Genomic DNA, 21,026 nt, shown 5'->3' with positions numbered 1-21,026 from the left:
TATTCTATTATATGGAATATTTAATAGTGTATCTTATTTAACCATTCATTAGTTGATGGACATTGGGTTGTTGGGTTATTATGAATAATGGTGCTCTGAACATTTGTGTACAACTTTTTTTTTCTTTCTTTCTTTTTCTTTTTCTTTTTTAAAGTAGAGATGGGGTCTCACTTTGTTGACCAGGCTGGTCTTGAACTCCTGGGCTCCAAGGATCCTCCTGCCTCAGCCTCCCAAACTGCTAGGATTACTGTGAGCTACCACACCTGGCCTATGTACAACATTTTTAAGTGGACATGGTTTTTATTTCTTTCGGTTATGTACCTAGGAGTGGAATTGCTGGGTCCAGTGGTAACTGTTTAACCTTTCAAGGAACTGCCAGCTGTTTTCCAAAGCCAGCTGCATCATTTGACATTCCTACCAGCAATGGACGAAGGTCCCAATTTCTCCACATTCTTGCCAACACTTGTCTGTCTTTTTGATTATAGATATTCTAGTGGGTAATGAAGTAATATCTCATTGTGGTTTTGATTTGCATTGCCTTAACGACTAAGGATGTTGAGCGTCTTTTCATGTGCTTATTGGCCATTTGTATATTGTCTTTGGAGAAATGTTTATTCACATCCTTTGCCCATTTTTTATTCAGGTTCTTTGTCTTTCTGTTGTCGAATTGTAAGAGTTCTTTATATATTCTGGATACTAGATCTTTATCATTTATATATGATTTATAAATATCCTATTCTTTGGATTGTCTTTTCAGTTTCTTGATAGTGTCTTTTGACACACAGAAGTTTTAAATTTCAGTGAAGTCCAATTTATGTTTTTTCTTTTGTTGTTTGTGTTTCTGGTTTCGTATCTAAGAACCCATTGCCTAATCTAAAATCACAAATGTTTATGCTTGTGTTTTCTCCTAAGAGTTTTATAGTTTCGGCTTTTATATATAGGTTTATGATCCATTTGTAGTTAATTTTCATGTAGGGCATAAGTAAGGGGTTGGTCCAACTTCATTATTTTGCATGTGAATATCCAGTTGTCCCAGAACCATTTGTTGAAAAGACTGTTCTTTTTTTATTGAATTGTTTTGGCAGCCTCATCAGAAAATCAAATGGCTGTCTTTTTAGCACTCTTACTGTGTGTCCACTGAGCCAAGGTTAAGTGGATATTAGGTGAGTTACCCATCACATTACCCAGAGAGGTGTTTTTACTGTGCTTTCTGTCAGCAGAAAAGCTTTGTGTTATCCGTGTCCCTGTAGTTACAGGATTACATAAAGAAGCATTTATGTAGTGATTCTTAACCAGGGGCAAATTTGTTCCGCTGGGGACATGTAGCAATGTCTGGAGACATTTTTACTTAACATGACTCAGAAGTGCTGCTGGCATCTAGTGGGTAGAGGCCAAGGATGCTGCTGAACATCCTGGAGTGCATAGGACAGCCCTTCAAAAAGAGTTAATTTGGTCCAAAACATCCACAGTGTCACAGTTATTGTAAGAGGAAAGTAGTCACAAATGAGTCAGCCATGTTGCACATGTGGTGGTATATCTATAGGATACTTTTCCAGAAGTATATTTGTCTTGCTTTTATAGATACGCTGTATTGGATTCCAAGGAGATTTGGGTCTGTGGCTTCATAGCTCCAAACTGTCTATCTGGAGGAAGCTCACTAATGGCCGAGTTTGGACAATTGCTGAATGGTAAAATGTTAAAATTAATAGTAGACTGAGGCCAAAGCCAGAAATGAACTTCTAAGATGCAAGAATAAATCTGCAGATTGACCAAAATGTAATTATTATCCAGCTTCTTATTAGCAGTTTTATAACATTACCATTATGGCTGCCTTGTTAAACTGTGATCCTCCCCACCCCCCGTTCCCCCAGCTCCTGCTGAGGTCAGCACATGGCCTAGCACCGCTGCTGGCACATGAGGGCTCCACTCAGCCAGCCCACTCAGCAGCATCACTGACTAGAACCGTCTCCCACTAATATGGTTTCTAGAAGAAACTTTCTACTTCAGATTCATAGCTTGGACAAATCTCAGAAATGTTTGGTCTTTAATTCCTGAAAAATGCTTAGCAGTCCTCAGCAGCCTTTTCTTTTGTTTTTCTCCTCAAATTCCTTTTTACCACTTGGTAGCCTTTTAATAGACTTTAAAAACTATAAGAAATGTTATTAATGCATTTCTATAAATTCTGTTCTTGTGAAGTTTGATTTGGGAGTACTTTATTTTTCTCTAACCTTTTCTTCTTTAAACTTTTTATGTTTGTTGTGATTTATCATGGGTGGTGTAGAATTTTGGATATTTTTGTCCTTGGGATATTTTAATGTGGCAAAATTGAGATCTTAGGATTTCCTCAAAATTACCAAAAGAATTCTCAAATAAGACTTAAAAAACACTTATGGCCTAAATAGAATTAAAAAACTAAAAATTAAATGTAGTTTTAAAAGGTTATTTTGCTTAATGTGAAGGTTCCAGGCACACCAAATACTGAGATTTGAATCATGATAGAATTTCATCTTTATAATTCTTCTTAATTTTAAAAAGACATTCGTTGCTGGAAAAAGATAAGTTTTCTCTAAAGTTAACTTAATACTTGTATTTCCTATTAGTTTGTTTCCATATTTACTTTGAAGATTTTAATTTTTTTTTGTTTTGAGACGGAGTCTCACTCTGTCACCCAGGCTGGAGTGCAGTGACACGATCTCGGTACACTGCAAGCTCCGCCTCCCGGGTTCACGCCATTCTCCTGCCTCAGCCTCCCAAGTAGCTGGGACTACAGGCGCCCGCCACCACGCCCGGCTAATTTTTTGTATTTTTAGTAGAGACGGGGTTTCACCGTGGTCTCAATCTCCTGACCTCGTGATCTGCCCGCCTTGGCCTCCCAAAGTGCTGGGATTACAGGCGTGAGCCACTGCGCCCGGCTGATTTTAATTTTTTTACATTAGATTTAACAATTCATTAATGTAGCATTTTATTCTCTTTTTGAATTGTTTTTATTGTGGTAAAATGTGTGTAACATAAAATTTGCCATTTTAACCATTTTTAAGCATACAATTCATTGGCATTAATGACATTCACAGGGTGGCATGACCATCGCCACTATTTCTAAAACCATCACCACTATTTCCAAAACTTTTTCATCACCTCAAAAACAGAAACTCTGTAACCATTAAGCATGAAGTCCCAACCCTTCCTCCCCTTAGATCCTGGTAACGTCTCATTTATTTCTGTGTTTTTTTTTTTTTTTTTTTTTTTTTTTTTTTGAGATAGGGTCTCACTCTGTCACCCAGGCTGGAGTGCAGTGGCATAGTCTTGGCTCACTGCAACCTCTTCCTCCTGGGCTCAAGCGATTCTCATGCCTTAGCTTCCGGAGTAGCTGGGATTACAGGCATACACCACCAGGCCTGGCTAATTTCTGTCTCTATGAATTTGCCTACTATAGATATTTCCTATAAAGAAACCAGAAAATATTTGTTCTTTTGTCGGTGACTTATTTCACTTTGCATGTTTTCAGGGTTCATCCTGTGCTAGCATGTATTTTGTTTGCATTTTATTTTTGCAGTCATAAATATGCATTTTTATACCTCAACTGGATAGAATTTAAACAGGTAGATTTTATTTTTACTAAAGTTAAATTTTTAGCATGCTTACTTGTTTTTGAAACCAAATATTCAGATACTAACAAATCCAGTTGACATGACTAATTCTTTGTTATATTGATTACTTATAACCATAGACTGTACAATCCTGCACAAGTTTAAGAATGCCAGAAGTGTAGCCTTTCTGCTGTTAGGACCCCCAGAGGCCAAGGCAGAAGCCTACAGCACTTGGGCCCTCCAAACACTAGCTGAAGGCTGGCCCCATGTGCCACCAGTGGCTGCGCAGGGCACCTCAGGGTCTGGTGGGTTGGCAAGGTTCCTCCCTGGGGTGTTATTCCTATGGCTTGGCTAAGGGTTCAAGAGAAAAATAGGCAAAAGATGGGATTGGACCCTTCTCAAAAAGAAGTAAAATAATATATATAAGGGAATACATTCAAATGCCTCATTAGTAATCAAAGAAATGCAAACTTAAGGTGTTACCTTTCCCTCTTTTTCTAAACTGTTGAAATAGCAAAATATTTCAGAATGAGAATACTCGGTAGTGCTATGATCCTGTGAGATTAGATAACTCATGTGTAGCTCTATAAATTAGGATAGTTATTCATTCAAGTAGCTATTCAGGGTTCTGTCAAGCACTACAACAGTTGCTAAGGAAATGCTTATGGCTGTATGCATCAAATTATCAAAATATCAATAAAAATAATAGCAACAATTGGAAACTACCTAAATGCTCAACAATTTGGGTTAAGTAAAATATTTAATGGATTGTTAAGTAAATATTAAACATAATTATTAAGACTGTTGCAAGCCAGGTGCAGTAGCTCACGCCTGTACTCCAAGCTACTCGGGAGGCTGAGGTGGGAGGAGCCCTTGAGCCCAGGAGTCCAGGGCTGCAGTGAGCTAGAATCATGCCACTGCACTCCAGCCTGGGCCACAGAACAAGACCCAGTCTCAAAAACAAAACAAAACAAGGAGACTGAAGCAACATGAAAAAAAACAAAAAAAACTTGCATACTTAGTATAATTTGTAAAATTATACTATAGAGTATAATTAGTATACACTATATATTATACTATAGGGCATAATTAGTATATACTATATATTATACTATAGAGTATAATTAGTATATACTATAATATAGTATATACTGTATATTATACTATATAATTTGTTTATATATGAATGTTTGGCAAATATCTAGATGATTATTTTTGAGTATGATTTTAGTTATTTTTTTCCTCCTTCCCAGTTTTGCTATGATATTGATGATTACCAAGATAAATAAGTTGGTTTTTTTTTTTCTTTCTTTTTGGAACAGAGTCTCACTCTGTCACCCAGGGTGGAGTGCAGTGGTACACTCTCAGCTCACTGCAACATCTGCCTCACGAGTTCAGGTGATTCTCATGCCTCAGCCTCCTGAGTAGCTGGGATTACAGGTGTGCACCACCATGCCCAGCTAATTTTTGTATTTTTAGTAGAGACGGGGTTTCAACATGTTGGCCAGCCGTTCTTGAACTCCTGACCTCAGGTGATCTTTGGGAGGCCTCTGCCTCCCAAAGTGTTGGGATTTACAGGTGTGAGCCACTGCGCCTAGCCTGAAGTTGTTTTTATGCCACTGGAGGTTAGTCTGTTTACTCTGGTCCTGGCTCTGATTCTTAGGCTGCCTAGCCAGCTGCTTGTGGTGTGAGTGTTGGATCTGTATTTCCAGTGTCGTTTCTTGTCTAACAGAGGCTTAGGTGATGGGATTAATTTTGCCCCTTACAGAGGCACTGAGGACATCACATCCCCTCACGGCATCCCTCTTGACCTTCTGGACCGAGTGATGATAATCCGGACCATGCTGTATACTCCACAGGAAATGAAACAGGTGAGCCTCCCTTCTTCCCTCCTGCTCTCTTCTCTCATTTGCTCCCAGTGTTCACTGGTGGCTGTGCAGAAAGGTATCTGCGGCTTGGATCTGGCTGCCATTCACCATCTCACCACTTAGCTACTGGCCTCGAGCAAGTCACATTACTCCAGAGTCTCAGTCTCCCCATCTGAAAGATGGATTGGTCTAACTAGACATTGCCCCAAGTGTCAACAGAAGCTCAGCTCCCTGTCTTGGCTGTTCGCTTTTCTGCTGTTCCCCCTTTGATAAGCTTTAGGAAAAGGATAGTGAAAAAATCAACATGATGATAGCCATTAGGGAGGCTACCAGCTCTATAAAAAGGAAGCAATAAAATATGATTTAGTGATAGCCTTTTGGTGACCAGGCCAGAATATGCCTGTGGCCTTTTCTACTCAGAGGACAAGGCCAGGCTCGCTGTTCCACCTGAACCAACAGCAAGCCAGCTCCAGCAGGGTACAGAATGTAGCCACCCTGACCTGGAAGAGGCCAGTGCTTGTGTCCTAGCAGAGCCTGTCTGCTGTAAACAGCATGACAAGTTTCTCGGCAGCTTTGGAGGCCGCCCCTGGGCAGGTCTGTGGCTTTGCAATAGAGTCCTTGAGGGCTTCTGCCAAGTCCACAGAGGTGATGGCGAGACAGCATCATACAGCTTAGAAGAGCACCTGAAGGAGGGAGTTTGTGAAACTGATCATATAATAAGAGGCTTCATTGGAGGACCCTTGGAAGCATCTAGCTCAGTGGCTGGCACACCGTGCATGCCCTGAAGTCTGCGTGAGCTGAATCTGGGTTAGGCTGAGTTGGGAGACGACAGGGATGTATGAGCGTGGGCTTTATCCAAAGGGCCACAGTCCCAGTTGTCCCTGTAGGAATTGCCTCTTGCTTGGTTTGGAGCTAGAGCACAACTATGTGCCAAGCATAGGAATACCATTGGACTAGGAATTTCTAGTCACCTTCATGGTATTTCCAGGTATTCCATGTGATCACCATCTATTTTATTTTTTACATTTGAGTCATGGAGCTGTAAGTGCAGGATGCAAAGCCAGGCAGTGCCCTGTAGAGCCCAGGCCATCTTCAGTGGTACATACCCTGAATTGGTGTCTCCGAGGCAGCATGTGCTGTGCTCTTTCCTCTGCCCTGCCCACCTTTGCCCCAAATGTTCTCTTCTGATGGGCTCTGGCATGCAGCCATGGTTGGAGATGCTGAGCAGACTGGGGCTGCAGTGACGTCTCGATGCGCTTTGCCTGGACCTTGTCTTTTCACCAGAGCATGGCATCTTTGTTGAGCATCGTGTTGAGCAGGACATGCCTGGCCAGTTTGATTCCATTTGATCCCCAGTAACCCATGAGGCAGGGAGAACTACTGTCATTGCCATTTTAAAAGATGAGGACATTGCCCAGGCATGGTGACTCACACCTGTAATCCCAGTACTTTGGGAGGCTGAGGCTGGAGGGTCACTTGAGCTCAGGAGTTTGAGACCAGCCTGGGCCACATAGTGACACCCCTACTCACCAAAACATCAAAAAGTTAGCCAGGTGTGGTGGTGTGTGCCTGTAGTCCCAGCTACTTGGGAGGCTGAGGTGAGAGGATCGCTTTAGCCCAGGAGGTCGAGGCTGCAGTGAGCTGTGATGGTGCCACTGCACTCCAGCAGAGTGAGACCCTGTCTCAAAAAAAGACAGATGAGGACACTGCGACCTAGGGTAACTAATTCGCCCAAGTTCATAACATTAGTCAGTGGCTAGCAGGTAATGGGACTGGCTGTAATCCAGGCTTTCTGATCCGGAAACCCGTGTTCTTAATCACCGTGCCACCCAGCTTCCCTCCTGCTAGAAATCTCTCATCTCATTGTCATTAGGATTCATGAGGTGGCTTTCCTCTGGCAGTTTGTGAGCAGGACCTTTCCTTTGGAGCAGTCAGGGCCTCTCCTGGGCCTTTCCTGGCACTTCTGCTGCTCTCCTGTGGCTGGAGGCCCAGCCTGGGCCTGCCAGCATCTCTTACCGCATGCAGGAGTGCTGTGGGGATGCATCAGGAGAGTCACAGATCTCCCTTTGTAACCAGCATTGGCAAATTACTGAAGCAGTTATGGTTCATAGTAGCAATTGTATATGTTACCTAGGAGATGGTGTCAATGGCCGGGGGCCTCATCGCCACGTAAGGGTGTCTTGCCAGGTGACTTGCAAGGGTGACTGCCAGGTTGAAGCCAAGGCATTCACTGAACGGAGGCAGAAGCAGAAACAGTCCCAGGCAATTCTTGGAAAACTGGCCCATTCTTACTGCGGGACATAGCACCTTACTGTTGGGTCCAAAACCCCATGTGTCCTGCCAAAAAAGGCAGCCCAGCACAGATGTGTTCAGGGCCAGAGACACCATTTGCCTACTGAATGACTTGAGCAATTTGGTGCATCTCACCGAGCCTTCACCTTCTCTGTTAAATGGAACATCTCCTCCCTCCTTTGCAAGATTGTCATTAGGATTTGTGAGGTATTGGCAATAACGGGCCCTCCCATCCTTCCCATTGCTGTTGTTATTACTGTATTCATAGCTTTGTGTGCTTCATAGGTACCCTCTAGGGTCCTCTACGTACAACATACAACAGCTTCGCAATAGCCAGTGTTGGAGGCTCCAAGAACGAGGGTCCTGTGGCTATGTGGAGAGTAAGCAGCAGAGCCAGGACTGCCACTCAGAGCTAGTTCACCCTTGCTGCCGCCATTCGAACCCAGAGCTCCTGGCCCAAACAGTCTGGAATGTTCTGTACTGTGCTTCTAGGACAGTGACTTGCCAGGCCAACTCTGGGCTGGGGCTGTCTTGGCTCTGTCAGGAGGGCCTCTCCTCAGGCTTTCTCTCAGGACTCGTGGCTTTGTTCCCGCTGGCCCAGGCGATAACCTCAGCATTTTTACTGGAGCCTGGGGCTAGGTTTTTAAACAAACTCAATGTAACTTGTGTACTCTGCAATCCAAGCCGACACCCTCATAAACTATCCCTGCAGGTTATTAAATGATTAAAGATCTCATTTATGAACTGTCCATTTTCGAGCAGCCTGAGACAGACGCTTTCACGATTGCTCTGACCTGCTGCTCTCTCTAGTGAGAGAGAGAGAGCAGAGTGTCCCTGACATTCTGGAAGCTGAGCCACAGATTCAGTGCATCTCACTGAAGGCGAGGCACTTAGCTTAAGCTGTCTCCTATGACCAGGCTCCAGGATTCAATATTTACATCTCCCTGGAGTTTCAGAAGGTCATCTGGGGACATTTTTCTTGGCAAGACCTGGTGGTTTCCTCAGTCCCAGCTGTGAGTGAGAAGCCGTTTTTACCTTGAAGCTGTGTTCAGGGGGGAGTTCTGTTGTGAGTCCCTCCCAGCTCCTTTTCTTGGTTGTCCTTGTACCATCCAGTAACTTCAGAGGGCCCCTTTTTGCCCAGCTGCATTTAGCTTTGGATTTCAGACAGTGAAGCCCCTCCTGCATAAGCTAAGATTGTTTCAGTGGAGCTCACACCCTGGCAGTTCACCCATGAGCCCAGCAGATACGTTTCATGTGGCCTATGCAGTGTTTGTGAAATGTTTGAACAAGTTGCTGACATCTAGACATCAGGACATTTCTTTCTTTCTTTCTTTTTTTGAGATGGAGTTTCTCTCTTGTTGCCCAGGCTGGAGTGCAACGGCCCAATCTCAGCTCACTGCAACCTCCGCCTCCCGGGTTCAAGCAATTCTCCTGCCTCAGCCTCCTGAGTAGCTGGGATTACAGGCATGTGCCACCACACCCACCTAATTTTTGTCTTTTTAGTAGAGATGGGGTTTCGCCATGTTGGTCAGGCTGGTCTTAAACTCCAGACCTCAGGTGATCCACCTGCCTCCGCCTCCCAAAGTGCTGGGATTACAGGCGTGAGCCATTGTGTCCTGCCAAAATCAGGACGTTTCGTACAAGGATCTGAGTTCTGAGCCTGTCTTGAGAAAAGGGAAGACTGCAGACAACACCTTGCAGCAGTGGTGGCCGCGGGTGGAGGGGCTGCCTCCCCAGGGTGTTTGCTGGCCAAGCATTTCACCCTCACCTGGCTCATCGCAGCCGCTCTGTCCTGCTGGGGCTTTCCAAGGCCTTTCCCATCTGTGGGCAGCCAATGTGCTGTCCCCCAAGCCCAACCGCGATCATCAGAGACTGGGCTCCCCCTGCAGCTCCTGCCCGCAGGGTCCCAGCCTGGAGAGCTGACAGGCGAGGCTTGATGTGGCCACCTCAGTAAACCTCTGGCTCTCCTCCCTCCTGGAAGGCTGAAGCTGGGACTCAGTCTTTCCCAGCTCCTGTGCCTCTACACTGGGTGTGCTTTTATGGCTTTAATTTCAACAAGGGCTTCTTGATATCTTGTTTACGAAGCTGCCAAAGTGAAAAATTCCTGTATTATATGCGGCTCGAAGTCCTGCAGTTATCTCAGCTCCACAACACACAACATCATTATCCTGGCTGCCCCTTATCACTCAGTGCTGGTACGCCTGCAGGATCCTGGTCCACCGTGTTACAGCATCCCCGCCGCCAGCCTGCCTCCCCTCCAACTCTACCAAGATCTTCAAACTGCAACAAGCGTCAGCCTCTTCTTGATAGATTAGATATCTCCCGGTGATGTTATGAGGCCTGGTAAATCTTTAAAAGTAACTGTTTTGATTTATTTAACCATCATATTTATCAAGCAAATAAAAAATGTCCCTTCTTGCCTGAGTGCTTGTAGGCAGTAGTGCCCATGCTGGAGAGGAAGGTTAGAGCCCTTGCAGGAGCCCCGGGTAGGTTAGAAGAGGCCCCAGTTCTCTGCCTGGGGACAGGGGACGGGAGGACATGGAGGCAAGAGTGAGCCACTTGGGAAGCTGCATACCTCCTTGGGCACCAGCCACACTTGAGTCAGTTGAATACAGCACACTGGCCGTGATGCTATTCATGCATACTGCAGGGCCGCACATGCCTCCTGGAGGGTGCCGGGCCGGCAGTGCTGGGCAGGCGTTGGCTCCCTGCCCACCAACCCAGGTCTCAGTTTCTCTTATGCTGCACAGTGAGAAATCTGAGCAACATTGTCTTTAAAGCACTTTAGAAATGGGGCACTTGAGGTCAGTCACCGTTGATCATGTTTTTTATCCTTTAAAAGATCATTAAAATCCGTGCCCAGACGGAAGGAATCAACATCAGTGAGGAGGCACTGAACCACCTGGGGGAGATTGGCACCAAGACCACACTGAGGTGAGCTGGTACCCTGGGCCCGCCGGGGCCTCCCCAGCACAGCCAGGGCCCTCGCTGGGGTCATTCTGGACAATAAAGGCAGGTCCCTTCCTAGGGCATGGGACTCTATCCATCCGCTCTTCCTGGCGCGATGGGTGCCAGGGCACTTGAGTTTCAAATGCAGAGGATCTATCTGATGGTTTTTAACAAGCTAGAGTAAGGGTGAAGTCCCCATGTCCTGCAGCAGATGCTCCCCTCTGGTGGAGAGTGCTTTGACCCTGGGCCTTCTTGTGGCAGAGAAGATGCACAGAACTAGAGAGCAGGGACCATGTGGTAGCTCATTAGCCAGGGCCCTGGCTCCTGTTCTCCCGGTGGTGTTATGAGGCCTGGTAAATCTTTAACTTTTTTGATTTATTTAACCATCAAGCAAATAAAAAATGTCTGGGTGGTGGATATGGAGAGCCAGGGAGGAGCGCAGACATAGACAGTTCTCCTAATTGTTCTCCAGCGGCTCAAACACAGGACCGGCAGAGCATGTCCCTTCACAGTGGCCTGACTCATTGTAAAATCATTGCTTCACAGTCCTCAGCCCTTCCCTACATCCCTTGAGTCAGTTCTTGCTCCTGAGGTTGAAGGCAGAAATGCAAGCTGTGAGGTTTGGATGAAGGGGTACTTTTTAAAACGGCAGAGTCTTCATGCCTTTGGATGGGCATGTACTTCCAGCTGGCTATGTTTTCATTTCCCTGCCATGTTAAATATCCCTATCTGTCGGACACCTGTATACATATAAGTTTGCAGTCCTTTTCCAGTAGCAGTGACATTACTTCCTACTGGAGGATTTGTAGACTGTACTAAAGATTTGGGGAATAGCACTTATGTCTTCTTGGTGGCTCCTGGACCCTCTCTGATGGGATAATGACTGCAGCTCTCTGAGAAGTGACAACTTTGTCTCCCCTTTTCTGTGTTCGTAGCAGCTGGCACAAGCCCAGCACTGGGCTCTGCTCCTGGTGCCAGTGCTGCCTACTGATGTGGGGGGAAGGTGCTTTCTTCGGTGGCCCCAGTTTCACTCCAGCCCTGGCCCCTGTCCACTCTAGGTACTCAGTGCAGCTGCTGACCCCGGCCAACTTGCTTGCTAAAATCAACGGGAAGGACAGCATTGAGAAAGAGCATGTCGAAGAGATCAGTGAACTTTTCTATGATGCCAAGTCCTCCGCCAAAATCCTGGCTGACCAGCAGGATAAGTACATGAAGTGAGATGGCTGAGGTTTTCAGCAGTAAGAGACTCCCCAGGTGTGCCTGGCCTGGGTCCAGCCTGTGGGCGCTTGCCCCTGGGCTTGGGGCTGCCGTCCCCACTCAGGCGTGGTCTGCAGCGCTGTCAGTTCAGTGTGGAAAGCATTTCTTTTTAAGTTATCGTAACTGTTCCTGTGGTTGCTTTGAAAGAACCCTTCCTTACCTGGTGTGTTTTCTATAAATCTTCATAGGTTATTTTGATTCTCTCTCTCTCTCTCTCTAAGTTTTTTAAAAATAAACTTTTCAGAACAGTTTTAGATGTACAGAGTCATTGTGAACATACAATAGGGAGTTCCCATGTATCTTGTACCCAGTTTCCCTTCTTGTTAACGTGTTACATCAGATAGCACATTTGTCACCGTGAATGACCAATACTGATGCATTATTCTACTGCGTTCACATTTTCTCAGTTTTACCTAATGTCCTTTTTCTGTCCCAGGATCCCATCCAGGATAACCCATTACAACTAGTTGTCATGTCTCCTTAGATGCCTCTTGGCTGTGACATCTTCTTAGATTTTCCTTGTTCTTGATGACCCTGACAGTTTTGAGGAGGACTGATCAGGTATCTGTAGAACATCCCTCAGTTGGGGTTTGTCTGATGCTTTTCTCATGAGTAGACTGGGATTGTGGGTTATGGAGAGGAAGACTAGAGGTGAAATGTGGTTCTGATCACATCGTATCATGTGTGGTTCTCATCACATGCTAGCAACATGACTCATCGTTGATGGTGAGCTTGACCCTTTGGCTGAGGTCATGTTTGTCGGGTCTTCTCACTGTAAAGTTACTCTCTGCTGCCTTTCCATACTGAATTCTTTGGAAGGAAGTCACTATATGCAGCCCACACTTAAGTGGCAGGGGTTATGCTCACCTCTAGAGAACTGAGTATTTACCAAAATTATTTGGGATTCTGCATGGAAGATTGTATCAGAATGGACTTACGGAAGTTCATTGTATACTTTAGTAGATTTATTTTGTTGCTCAAATTGAGCCAGCTTTGGCCAGTGAGAGCTCTTGTCAGTTGGCTCGTGTGTCCCTATCTCTGAAGTGTCCCTCTGAAGTGTCCCTATCTCTCTGGCCGAATCTCTGCGTTCGCCCACTAAGTAAGCAGCAAGGGCAAGTGCAGCACTGGGCAGTGCACCTTACTGGAATGTGCCTTCCCAGTAGGATGAGAGCTGCGTTCTTGCCCTTGCCAGGCCTGTCCTTCCCTGCTGGCTCCGTGGTGCCTGAGGTGGGGCTAAGTACCCGGACGCTGTTCCCAGCACTTGCTCCTTGTGCTAGTTCAGACTGGATCTCCGTGCTGTAATGATATGGGAGGCAGGGCTGACTAGGATGGTCATCTTGGTCCAGTGCTTTAGTTCAGACTAACTATGAGCTCCTTGTGGGGCAAGCAGCATTGTCCTTCCATTAGGGACAGTCCCCTGTAGTCATGTCAAGGGGACAGTGGGAGGGGGCGGAGATGATGCTGGGGATTCCATCTAGCCTGAGAGGCCCCAGCCGTCCCTGCTGCCAGAGTGAATCTTCTCCCTCGGCCTGGCCCCTGAGGAGACACTGGCATGCACAGCAGTGGTGGTGGGACCCTTCATGAAGTCAGCTGTGCATGTGGCCCATGCCGGCTGCCAGTGTCCTCTGAGGCTGCGCTTGTCTTTAGCCTCCCCACTCGAGCCATGTTAGACAAACAGAAGAGAGATGCAGCAAGAGCTTATTGCACCAGGGACTGTGTTCACACTCTGCGTTCCATGTTGCCTTCACAGTAGCCTGTGAGACTGGGATAGGTGTGCTAGCCCACTTCCAAGACCACTTCCACAGAGGAGGCAAGTCCCTTGGCCAGCTAGTGAGAGATGGAACCAGGATTTGAAATCAGGCTGCTTGGAACCTGTGTTCCTAACTCCTGGGGGCCATACTGCCTCCTTCTGTGTTGGCATTTAGCAGCAGCTAGGAGCTGTCAAGATCTGACCTTTGTACCAGCCAGGTGAAGGAAGCGGGGTCCGGTGTGGGGAAGGTGACCCACCTAGAGGACCAGAACCAGGCCTCTGCCCTGGCTGGGCCTCTCACTTGGGCTCCAAGCCTTTCATGCTGTTTAAGGAGCAAGATGGAAGTGGCGCTGACAGCAGATCTCACAGCCGCGGGTGGGGACAGAGTCTTCTTCGGCTGCCCAAGGTACCAATATCCAGATCAGCCAGGTGAGGAGGGGACCGTGGTCTTGCTCTTCCTAGGCCACAGACCCCTGGTTCCTGCCCCTCAAATATCCTAGCTGAGGTGGTACCCAGAGAGATGGCCCAGTTCGCTGGTCTGTGCTCCAAAGTGAGGGAGATGGTTCTGGATAGGTAGGAAGGTGGGATTATTTTAATTTTCCTCCTATTTTTTCCAGCAAGGCCTGTGATTATTACATTAATCTTCCGGGCGAAGTTTTTACGACTGATCCCTCACCAACTATGAGAAGTTTCTCCATCCATTACTAAGAGGGAAACAGACCCTGGTGGGGAGGAAAATATTTGTTACATCTTATCAGGCTGACACACAATCTAACAACAATTACAGCAGCCTCATTTTTTGCACTATTTCAGCTCCAGTGTGAAAAATTGTTGTAATATTAAAGTGAGGCAGGGTGGGGGCTGGTCATCGGAAGTGGTTGAATATTCCAGGCTCTCAGCGCAGGCTCTCTTGGGTGCCACCCAGGGAGCTGATTGGGTGGCTGAGGAGAGGGAGGGAGGAATTTTCACATAAATCCCAGCGCCCTGTCTCCTGTGCTAATGGCCCCAGAGATACTTGTGAGACTGGGAAGGGCTCTTGAAAGACGCGTCCCTGGCCCTGGCAGGGAAACCACCTTGTGCCCTGCCTCATTTTCTCAGTGCAGATACCTTCTTACTGCCACATGTCTTAGGGTTGCACCTGCCAGATTGATTGGTAGGATAGTTTGTTTTTTAGGACTAAATGAATCATGCTGTCACACCAGAGAGTGACTTCTTGGTTAGCAAACCTTAGCCATTTGTGTAATAAAATGGGGGTACAGAAGGGGGCTGGGGTTGCACTCCCAGTCGACCTCTATCCCTCAGAAACTGGCCAGCCCTGGGCAGAGCAGCTGGGGTACCCCAAGAAGGCCCTGCTCTGGAGGGCTGTGGGCAGAGGAGCAGTGGGAGGGGACCCAGGGGTTCTGGGGCTCAGCAGGGCATGGTATTGATTGCATTTTCCTCCTCTGTGTGGCCCTTGGTCCTAGCCCCATGAGTCTTTGGTTTCCTGGTGTGTGAGTGGGAAGTTCATATCCCATAGACCCATGTGAGGACTTGGTGAAGTGACCCACATGTAGCTGTATCAGGTACCCAAGAGACTAAGAGGCAGTAAAGAGTTCCTGATTCCTGGCCCACTTGGAAAGAGGTCACAGTTTGTCAAACTGGAGGAAGCAGCCTGCTAGGCCCTGCCCCTCCCTATCGCAGACAGCTGGCACTTGGAAGGACCCTTAGGATCCCCCTGTGTTTGGAAAAAGCCCTGTAGCCCAGAGGGGCCAGCACTGGCTCAGGGCCACACAGCCCAAGAGCAGAGGGGGTAGCACGGGGCAACTGCCAGAAACAACGCACTGCTTCTCACTGGGGCCCTAGCATCCCATCCTGGGTGAGGCTCAGCTAGGGCTGAGGCAGCCAGAGGGGGCGAAATGACCACCCCCTTGTCCCAGCCAGTGCTGGTGTTTGTCAGGTCAGACCTGCTCTCATTTGGTGTCTGGGAAAGAGGTCCCTCGGGAGGTAGAACAGTGTTCACCCCCTTCATCCGTGGTCATCCATTCATTCTCCACACAGAAGTTCCTCTTTCTTGCTTCCTCCAGTATGCAGCCACTCCCCTTCCATTTGTTCTGGGGAGAGCAGGCCATAAGAGGATAGGGGGTGAGGGAGGCCTGGGCAGGGGGGCTGGGGAGCTTAGGGTGCAGGGCGGGCCACGCAGCAGGGCCCCGGAACTGTGAAGGGGTGGGCCGGCCACGGGGGCTGCCTGTCGTCCCCTGCTGCCCTGCCGCCCCTCCCGTCACTTGGCGGCAGGCACGGTGATTAATGGCCAGGCCGTGCGGGCTGGGCGGCCATCAGCGCGCGTCTCGGCGACGGATGCGGCTGTCAGGCCGGCCCGGCCCGCGCTGACCCCCGGGCAGGGGCCCGGCGCGATCAATGGGCGGCGCGCAGCGGGCGGCGGCTGGGCCGCCGCGATAAGATGGGCCGATGGGCGCCTGCCGATTGCCCGCTCCGTCACCCGCCGTCACCGTCACCGTCACGCCGCCAGCACGCAGATCAGCGCCGTCAGCGCCGCGTGATTAATGGGGACGCCGGCAGCTGCGGGGAGGGCGCGGGCATGCGGACCCCGCACCCAGAGGGACATGGTGGGGTGCGGGGTGCGGGCTGGGACGCCGCACACGGCACGCTGCACTTACACTGGAGCCGCATGCAGGGAACGGGGGACACGGCGGGATGCGGGCTGCAGGTCTGGGGCACACGGCGCAGGTTTTCACGGGGCTGCGCGCGCGCGTGTGTATGTAGTGGGTGGAGGTCCCGGTGCCACCGTGACACAAGGGCCTGAGTGACTTAGGCCTGAGGGGTGGGGGGAGGAGGGACCACACCTACTGTGACCTCCCCACCGCGATCCCTGCCTGGCCTAGGCCTCAGCCACCAGGTCCACCAGCCTCTTCGGTCTTTGCAAGCCTGCCCACTGTCCCAACCATCTTTGAGAACCCAGACTAGACGGTCAGGACCCCGACCCAAAACCCTTCCACAGGTCCCATGGCTAAATCCCAGGTTCCCCACCCTCCCGGCAGGCCCGCAGGAATGCCGGCCCCGCCTCTCCATGCCGGCCGCCCCCCTGTGCTCCTTTAGCTGTCATCGCAAGTGGTCCCGTCCCCCAGAGCTTCGTCCCTGGGTCGGGTCATGCTGTTGGGGACGCCCTGAGCGCTCTCAGCGCACCGTTGGCCCTGCTCGCTCCCCACCGGGTGAGGAGGGCAAGAGCCGGCTTCCCACCCCCCTCCTCCGCGCCAGAGCGCACAAATCCCCACTCGAAGCGACCTGCCTCTGAGGCACTGCCCCTCCAGAATAGCGCTGGTCCGCCGGGACCCACTCGGAACTCGGGAATCGGGAGGGAGAGGCTCGCCCAACCCAAATACCCACATGCCGCCAGGGAGGAGCCGTGTGCCAGGTGTGCAGAGAGGGGGCCGGAGGGCTTCCCAATGCCAGTGACAGGAGCGCAGCAGGGACAGCCGGGCGCGAGTGTGGGACTGACCCGAAGTCCGAACTGCCAAGGAGAGCGAGACGAGGGGAAGGGGGGGGCCCCGGCTGGGTGGACTGGGGCCTATCCCGTGGGCAGTGGGGATCTCAGGGCCAAGCGGCAGCGGAGGCAGGACCAGCCACTCTCACTTTTCCCCTCGAAAACCACAGCGTTCCAGGGCCGCGAGGCACCCCGCGGGAGCTTGCGAGGACACAGCGCCCCCGTGTGGGCGGACGCGCACAGAGTCGCGCCCGTGGCGTTTCGGGCCCAGGCTCCGCCCCCGCCGCGCTGCCCCTCCCCCCATGGGGGCGTGGCCAGGCCTAGCCCAGGGATCCGAGATTCCAAGTCACACCCAGCACGACTTGGGAAGTCGCGACGAAAGTGCGCGACTTCCCAGCAAGCGAGGTTGAAGTCCCGGCAGGCAGGGAGGAAGGCGTGTGTCCCCCCGTGCATGCGGGGAAGGAGCAGTGGGGGAAGGCTGAGTTGGGCTTTCAATTAAAAAAAATGTGCATACACTTAGTTTTTTGATGCAAAATTGCCAAAGGCGTGTACCGTGAAAACCTACCTCGACACCTGCCCCCTGCCTCCTGTTCCCTTTCCGGAAGCGCCTGCCTTACACCGGTGTGTTCCTCTAGAGATGGCCAGGACCTGGGTGAGGCAGCACACACTCACAGGACCTTCCCAACACTCATTATGAAACATATCACATGGAAAACTGCAAGAATTACAGGCAATCGCCTCTCAGCCTTTGGCTAAGATCAAGTGTAGTGTTCTTATCACTTTAATATCTGCTATCTGAGGACAGTATGTTAAATGGATTTTTGGAGCAGGGAGATGGAATAGGACCTTGCTCTTTCCACTCCATGCATCCACCTGGTATTGCAGTACCTCCAGGAATAGTGCACCCCCTTTGGGGGAATAAAAAAAAAGGATTGCAGGTGAGCCCCCATATCCCTGTCATCTAGGCACTGCACTGCCCATCCCCCTGTCTGCCTGCCAGTCAGTCTTGTCAGTCTTCTGTGCATTTCAAAGTGAGTTGCAGATACAACAACCTCTGTAAATAGTTAAGCATGTGTATAATTATCTAGAGTTCAGTACTTGATTATGGTTTTTTAAGTTTTTTTTTTTTTTTTTTTTTTTGAGACGGAGTTTCGCTCCTGTTGCCCAGGCTGGAATGCAATGGCGCCATCTCAGCTTACTGCAACCACCGCCTCCCGGGTTCAAGTGATTCTCCTGCCTCAGCCTCCCAAGTAGCTGGGATTATAAGCGCATGCCACCACACCCAGCTAATTTTGTGTTTTTAGTAGAGATGGGGTTTCTCCATGTTGGTCAGGCTGGTCTTGAACTCCTGACCTCAGGTGATCCACCTGCTTTGGCCTCCCACAGTGCCAGAATTACAGGCATGAGCCACTGTGCCCGGCTGCTTATGGTTATTTTTAAACGTTAAAAATACAGTGAAATGTACAAATCCTAAGTGGAGCACTCCATGAGTTCTGACTAATGAAACCCAAATCCCAGTGAAGGATATTACTATTGCCCAGAAAGTTCCTTGTGCCAATCTCTAACACACTAGAGGCAACCACTGTTAGAATTTTTTTTTTTTTTGCAATAGATTAGGTTTTCCTGCTCTAGAATTTCATGTAAATGGCATCATACAACATGACTTGTTTCTTTCACTTAGCTTTTGAGCTCCTGAATGTTGTGTGTATGGATAGTTTATTTTTTATTGCTGGGTAAAATGCCACCCTGTGGATCCACCACATGTATCCATTTGCCTGTTGATGGCCACCTAGGCTGTTCCCTATTTTTCAGCTATTATGAACATTCTTGTACAAGTCTTTGTATAGGCATATATTTTCATCTTGGGTTTCAATACCCAGGAGTAGAATAGCTGGGTGTAGGGTAAGTGTATGTCTAGTTTTATGGGAAATTGCTACACCTTTTCCTGATGTAGTCTATTAGTCACTTCCTACCCCCCTTTTAAACACAAATGGTAGCATACGCTATTGTTTCTTGCTTTCTGTATTCTTCCTTGACAGCATATCTTGGAGATTCTTCTAACTCAACATATAAAGAATGTCCTCCTAGTTCCTTTCCACAGGGAGGAGCTGCTGTAATTTATTCAGCCCCCTCCGATGGGCATTTAGATGTTTCTAGCCTTATTGAGCTGTGCTTTGAAGGATGAACAGGAGCTTGTCAGGCAGACAGCAGAGGGAACAAGGCCCACAGGTTTGACAGACACTGCAGAACCCTTACTGCTGGGGCATGAGCTTTTAAGAGGAGAGGCACCTTCTGTTCCATTTCCCCATGAGGCTCAATAATGTTTGCTGAGTGGAAAGGAGTGGGTAATGTGGCCCTAGAAGGGATTGGGGCAGGGGAGTGAGGTGGGCACTACCACTTAGGGGCACACCTGGCTCTCCAGAACCAGGCATTGGTAGGTGCTGAAGCTCAGGTTGGGGCTTTTGCTGACTCTCGGACAGTGCCACATGCCCATCCCCTGGCCCTCATCAGGAATCCGTTGCTCTTCCCCAGGCCATGGGGCTCAGACCCCTCAGAAATGAGATGGGAGGCTCATCCCAGCCTTCCTGAGGACTTCATGCTGGCCTGGCTTCAGCAGGAGCAGGCTGGGGGCGGGGTATGGGGTAGGGCATCAGCAGGTCCAGGGAGGCAGTGGTAAAGCAGCACCATGGATGGAGCGGAGTGCCAGTTGAAGCGGGTGCTGCCCCTGAGCCAAGGGCAGCAAGGGGAAGCTCCGGGGGTGGGGCCTGTTTCCCTAGACTCCTCATTCCTTGCCCCAGCTACGTCCCTAGCAGAAGTACCTGCAGGCAGGACCAGCAGCCAGACAGGGACTTGGAGTAGGAAGTGAGCCTTAGGCTTTTTGTCCTGGCTCGGGAGCTAAGTGACTTTTGGCCACACTCTATTTCCCTGGGCCTCAGTTTCTTCACCTGTAAAATGGACGGACTTGTTTCCTCCTGGGCCTCTAGTGGGGTGAAGTGAGAGCACATGTAGGAAGTGGCTGGGACAGTGCCTGCCCCAAGGGAAAAAGCAGAGTAAGCCTTACCCCCCCATCACTGTGCATTAGTTCCCTGTGCATGGGGAGGAGCCAGGTGGAGAGACACCAGGGCCTGCCATCTTGAAGCGTGCGTGGCTGCTGGAATGTGGGCTCCGTTTGCTCTCAGGCAAGAGGGGCCACGGCCACAGGTGCAAACGAATACCTGAGGCACGAGAGATGGCCTACTGCTTCCCTGGGGCAGCAGGTTTTCTAACATATTTATACTGGCAAGCACCCTGCCTGCCTCAGCAATTCACAGCGCCTGGCTGGTCTGGAGCCTGAGGCCACGTGCTGTGCTCCTGTCCAGGGCCTCCCTGAGCCCTGAGGCCAGCAGGTGCAGAGGGAGCGCGGGGCAGACCTGGCTGCACATGTGTCCTAGCAGTCTCAAAACACAGTGCTGAGGTGTGGCTTCTGCAAGGCCAGGCCCACACCTGTCCATCAGGTGGTCTCAGAGGAACCATCCTGCTCTGACCCAACTCCCCTTGGAAATCAGTTTCCAAGACAAGGTCTAAGACTACAAGGAAATACTGAGGCTGGAGCCCAGCTAAGGAGTAACGACCTCCCACAGCCCTGGTCAGGCCTGCCCTGGGGTTGCCCACCCACCTGCCCCTCAAGTTCCTGAGGAAGCACCAGGCCCAGGTGGTGGGGACGGCGGCAGGTTTGGGGTGAGGCCCTGTCCAGGACTGGGGAGAGTGGAAATGTGGCCTACCACTGGGGGCTTGGTGTAGAAACAGAAAGACTTCTAGACACGTTCTAAGGGAGCAGCCACAAGCCTGCCACTCCCACCCACACA

The 21,026-nt window shown here is 49.6% G+C and overlaps 1 protein-coding gene, 1 long non-coding RNA gene and 1 pseudogene across 8 annotated transcripts in view, besides 3 other annotated features; 2 read left to right on the top strand and 1 right to left on the bottom strand.

The window, feature by feature from the left end:
* The window catches only part of RUVBL1 (RuvB like AAA ATPase 1), an 89,130-nt gene that overhangs the window by 60,751 nt on the left and 7,353 nt on the right, over positions 1 to 21,026 (top strand). For 2 of the 7 annotated variants that reach the window (XM_017007357.3, XM_017007356.3), the window contains exons 9-10: positions 5,356 to 5,458; positions 10,590 to 10,681. In XM_017007357.3, the coding sequence (XP_016862846.1) occupies positions 5,356 to 5,458; positions 10,590 to 10,681 (195 nt within the window). Of the gene's footprint in view, positions 1 to 1,581; positions 1,689 to 5,355; positions 5,459 to 10,589; positions 10,682 to 11,754; positions 12,355 to 21,026 lie in introns of those variants that run through there. The other 5 variants (NM_001319086.1, XM_011513249.4, NM_003707.3 and 2 more) reach the window with 4 other exon arrangements.
* On the bottom strand, positions 14,108 to 17,354 carry RUVBL1-AS1 (RUVBL1 antisense RNA 1). Its single transcript, NR_046645.1, has 2 exons — positions 17,085 to 17,354; positions 14,108 to 14,425 (listed from the first exon to the last, which is right to left on the bottom strand). It is a non-coding gene; the product is annotated as an RUVBL1 antisense RNA 1 (long non-coding RNA).
* Positions 15,757 to 15,856: a silencer, noted in NCBI's record as "silent region_14701". NCBI's record gives its function as "represses an Ori minimal core promoter by ATAC-STARR-seq in GM12878 lymphoblastoid cells {active_cell/tissue: GM12878}" and the evidence as "EXISTENCE:reporter gene assay evidence [ECO:0000049][PMID:35858748]".
* Positions 17,198 to 17,637: a silencer, noted in NCBI's record as "silent region_14700". NCBI's record gives its function as "represses an Ori minimal core promoter by ATAC-STARR-seq in GM12878 lymphoblastoid cells {active_cell/tissue: GM12878}" and the evidence as "EXISTENCE:reporter gene assay evidence [ECO:0000049][PMID:35858748]".
* Positions 17,648 to 17,697: a silencer, noted in NCBI's record as "silent region_14699". NCBI's record gives its function as "represses an Ori minimal core promoter by ATAC-STARR-seq in GM12878 lymphoblastoid cells {active_cell/tissue: GM12878}" and the evidence as "EXISTENCE:reporter gene assay evidence [ECO:0000049][PMID:35858748]".
* Positions 17,915 to 18,088, top strand: RNU2-37P (RNA, U2 small nuclear 37, pseudogene; annotated as a pseudogene).

This window comes from Homo sapiens, chromosome 3, assembly GCF_000001405.40.
Source record: "Homo sapiens chromosome 3, GRCh38.p14 Primary Assembly".
NCBI classification, from domain to species: Eukaryota; Metazoa; Chordata; class Mammalia; order Primates; family Hominidae; genus Homo; species Homo sapiens.
The sequence above is the reverse complement of the archived record's forward strand: the minus strand, read 5'-3'. Positions and strand labels throughout refer to the sequence as shown.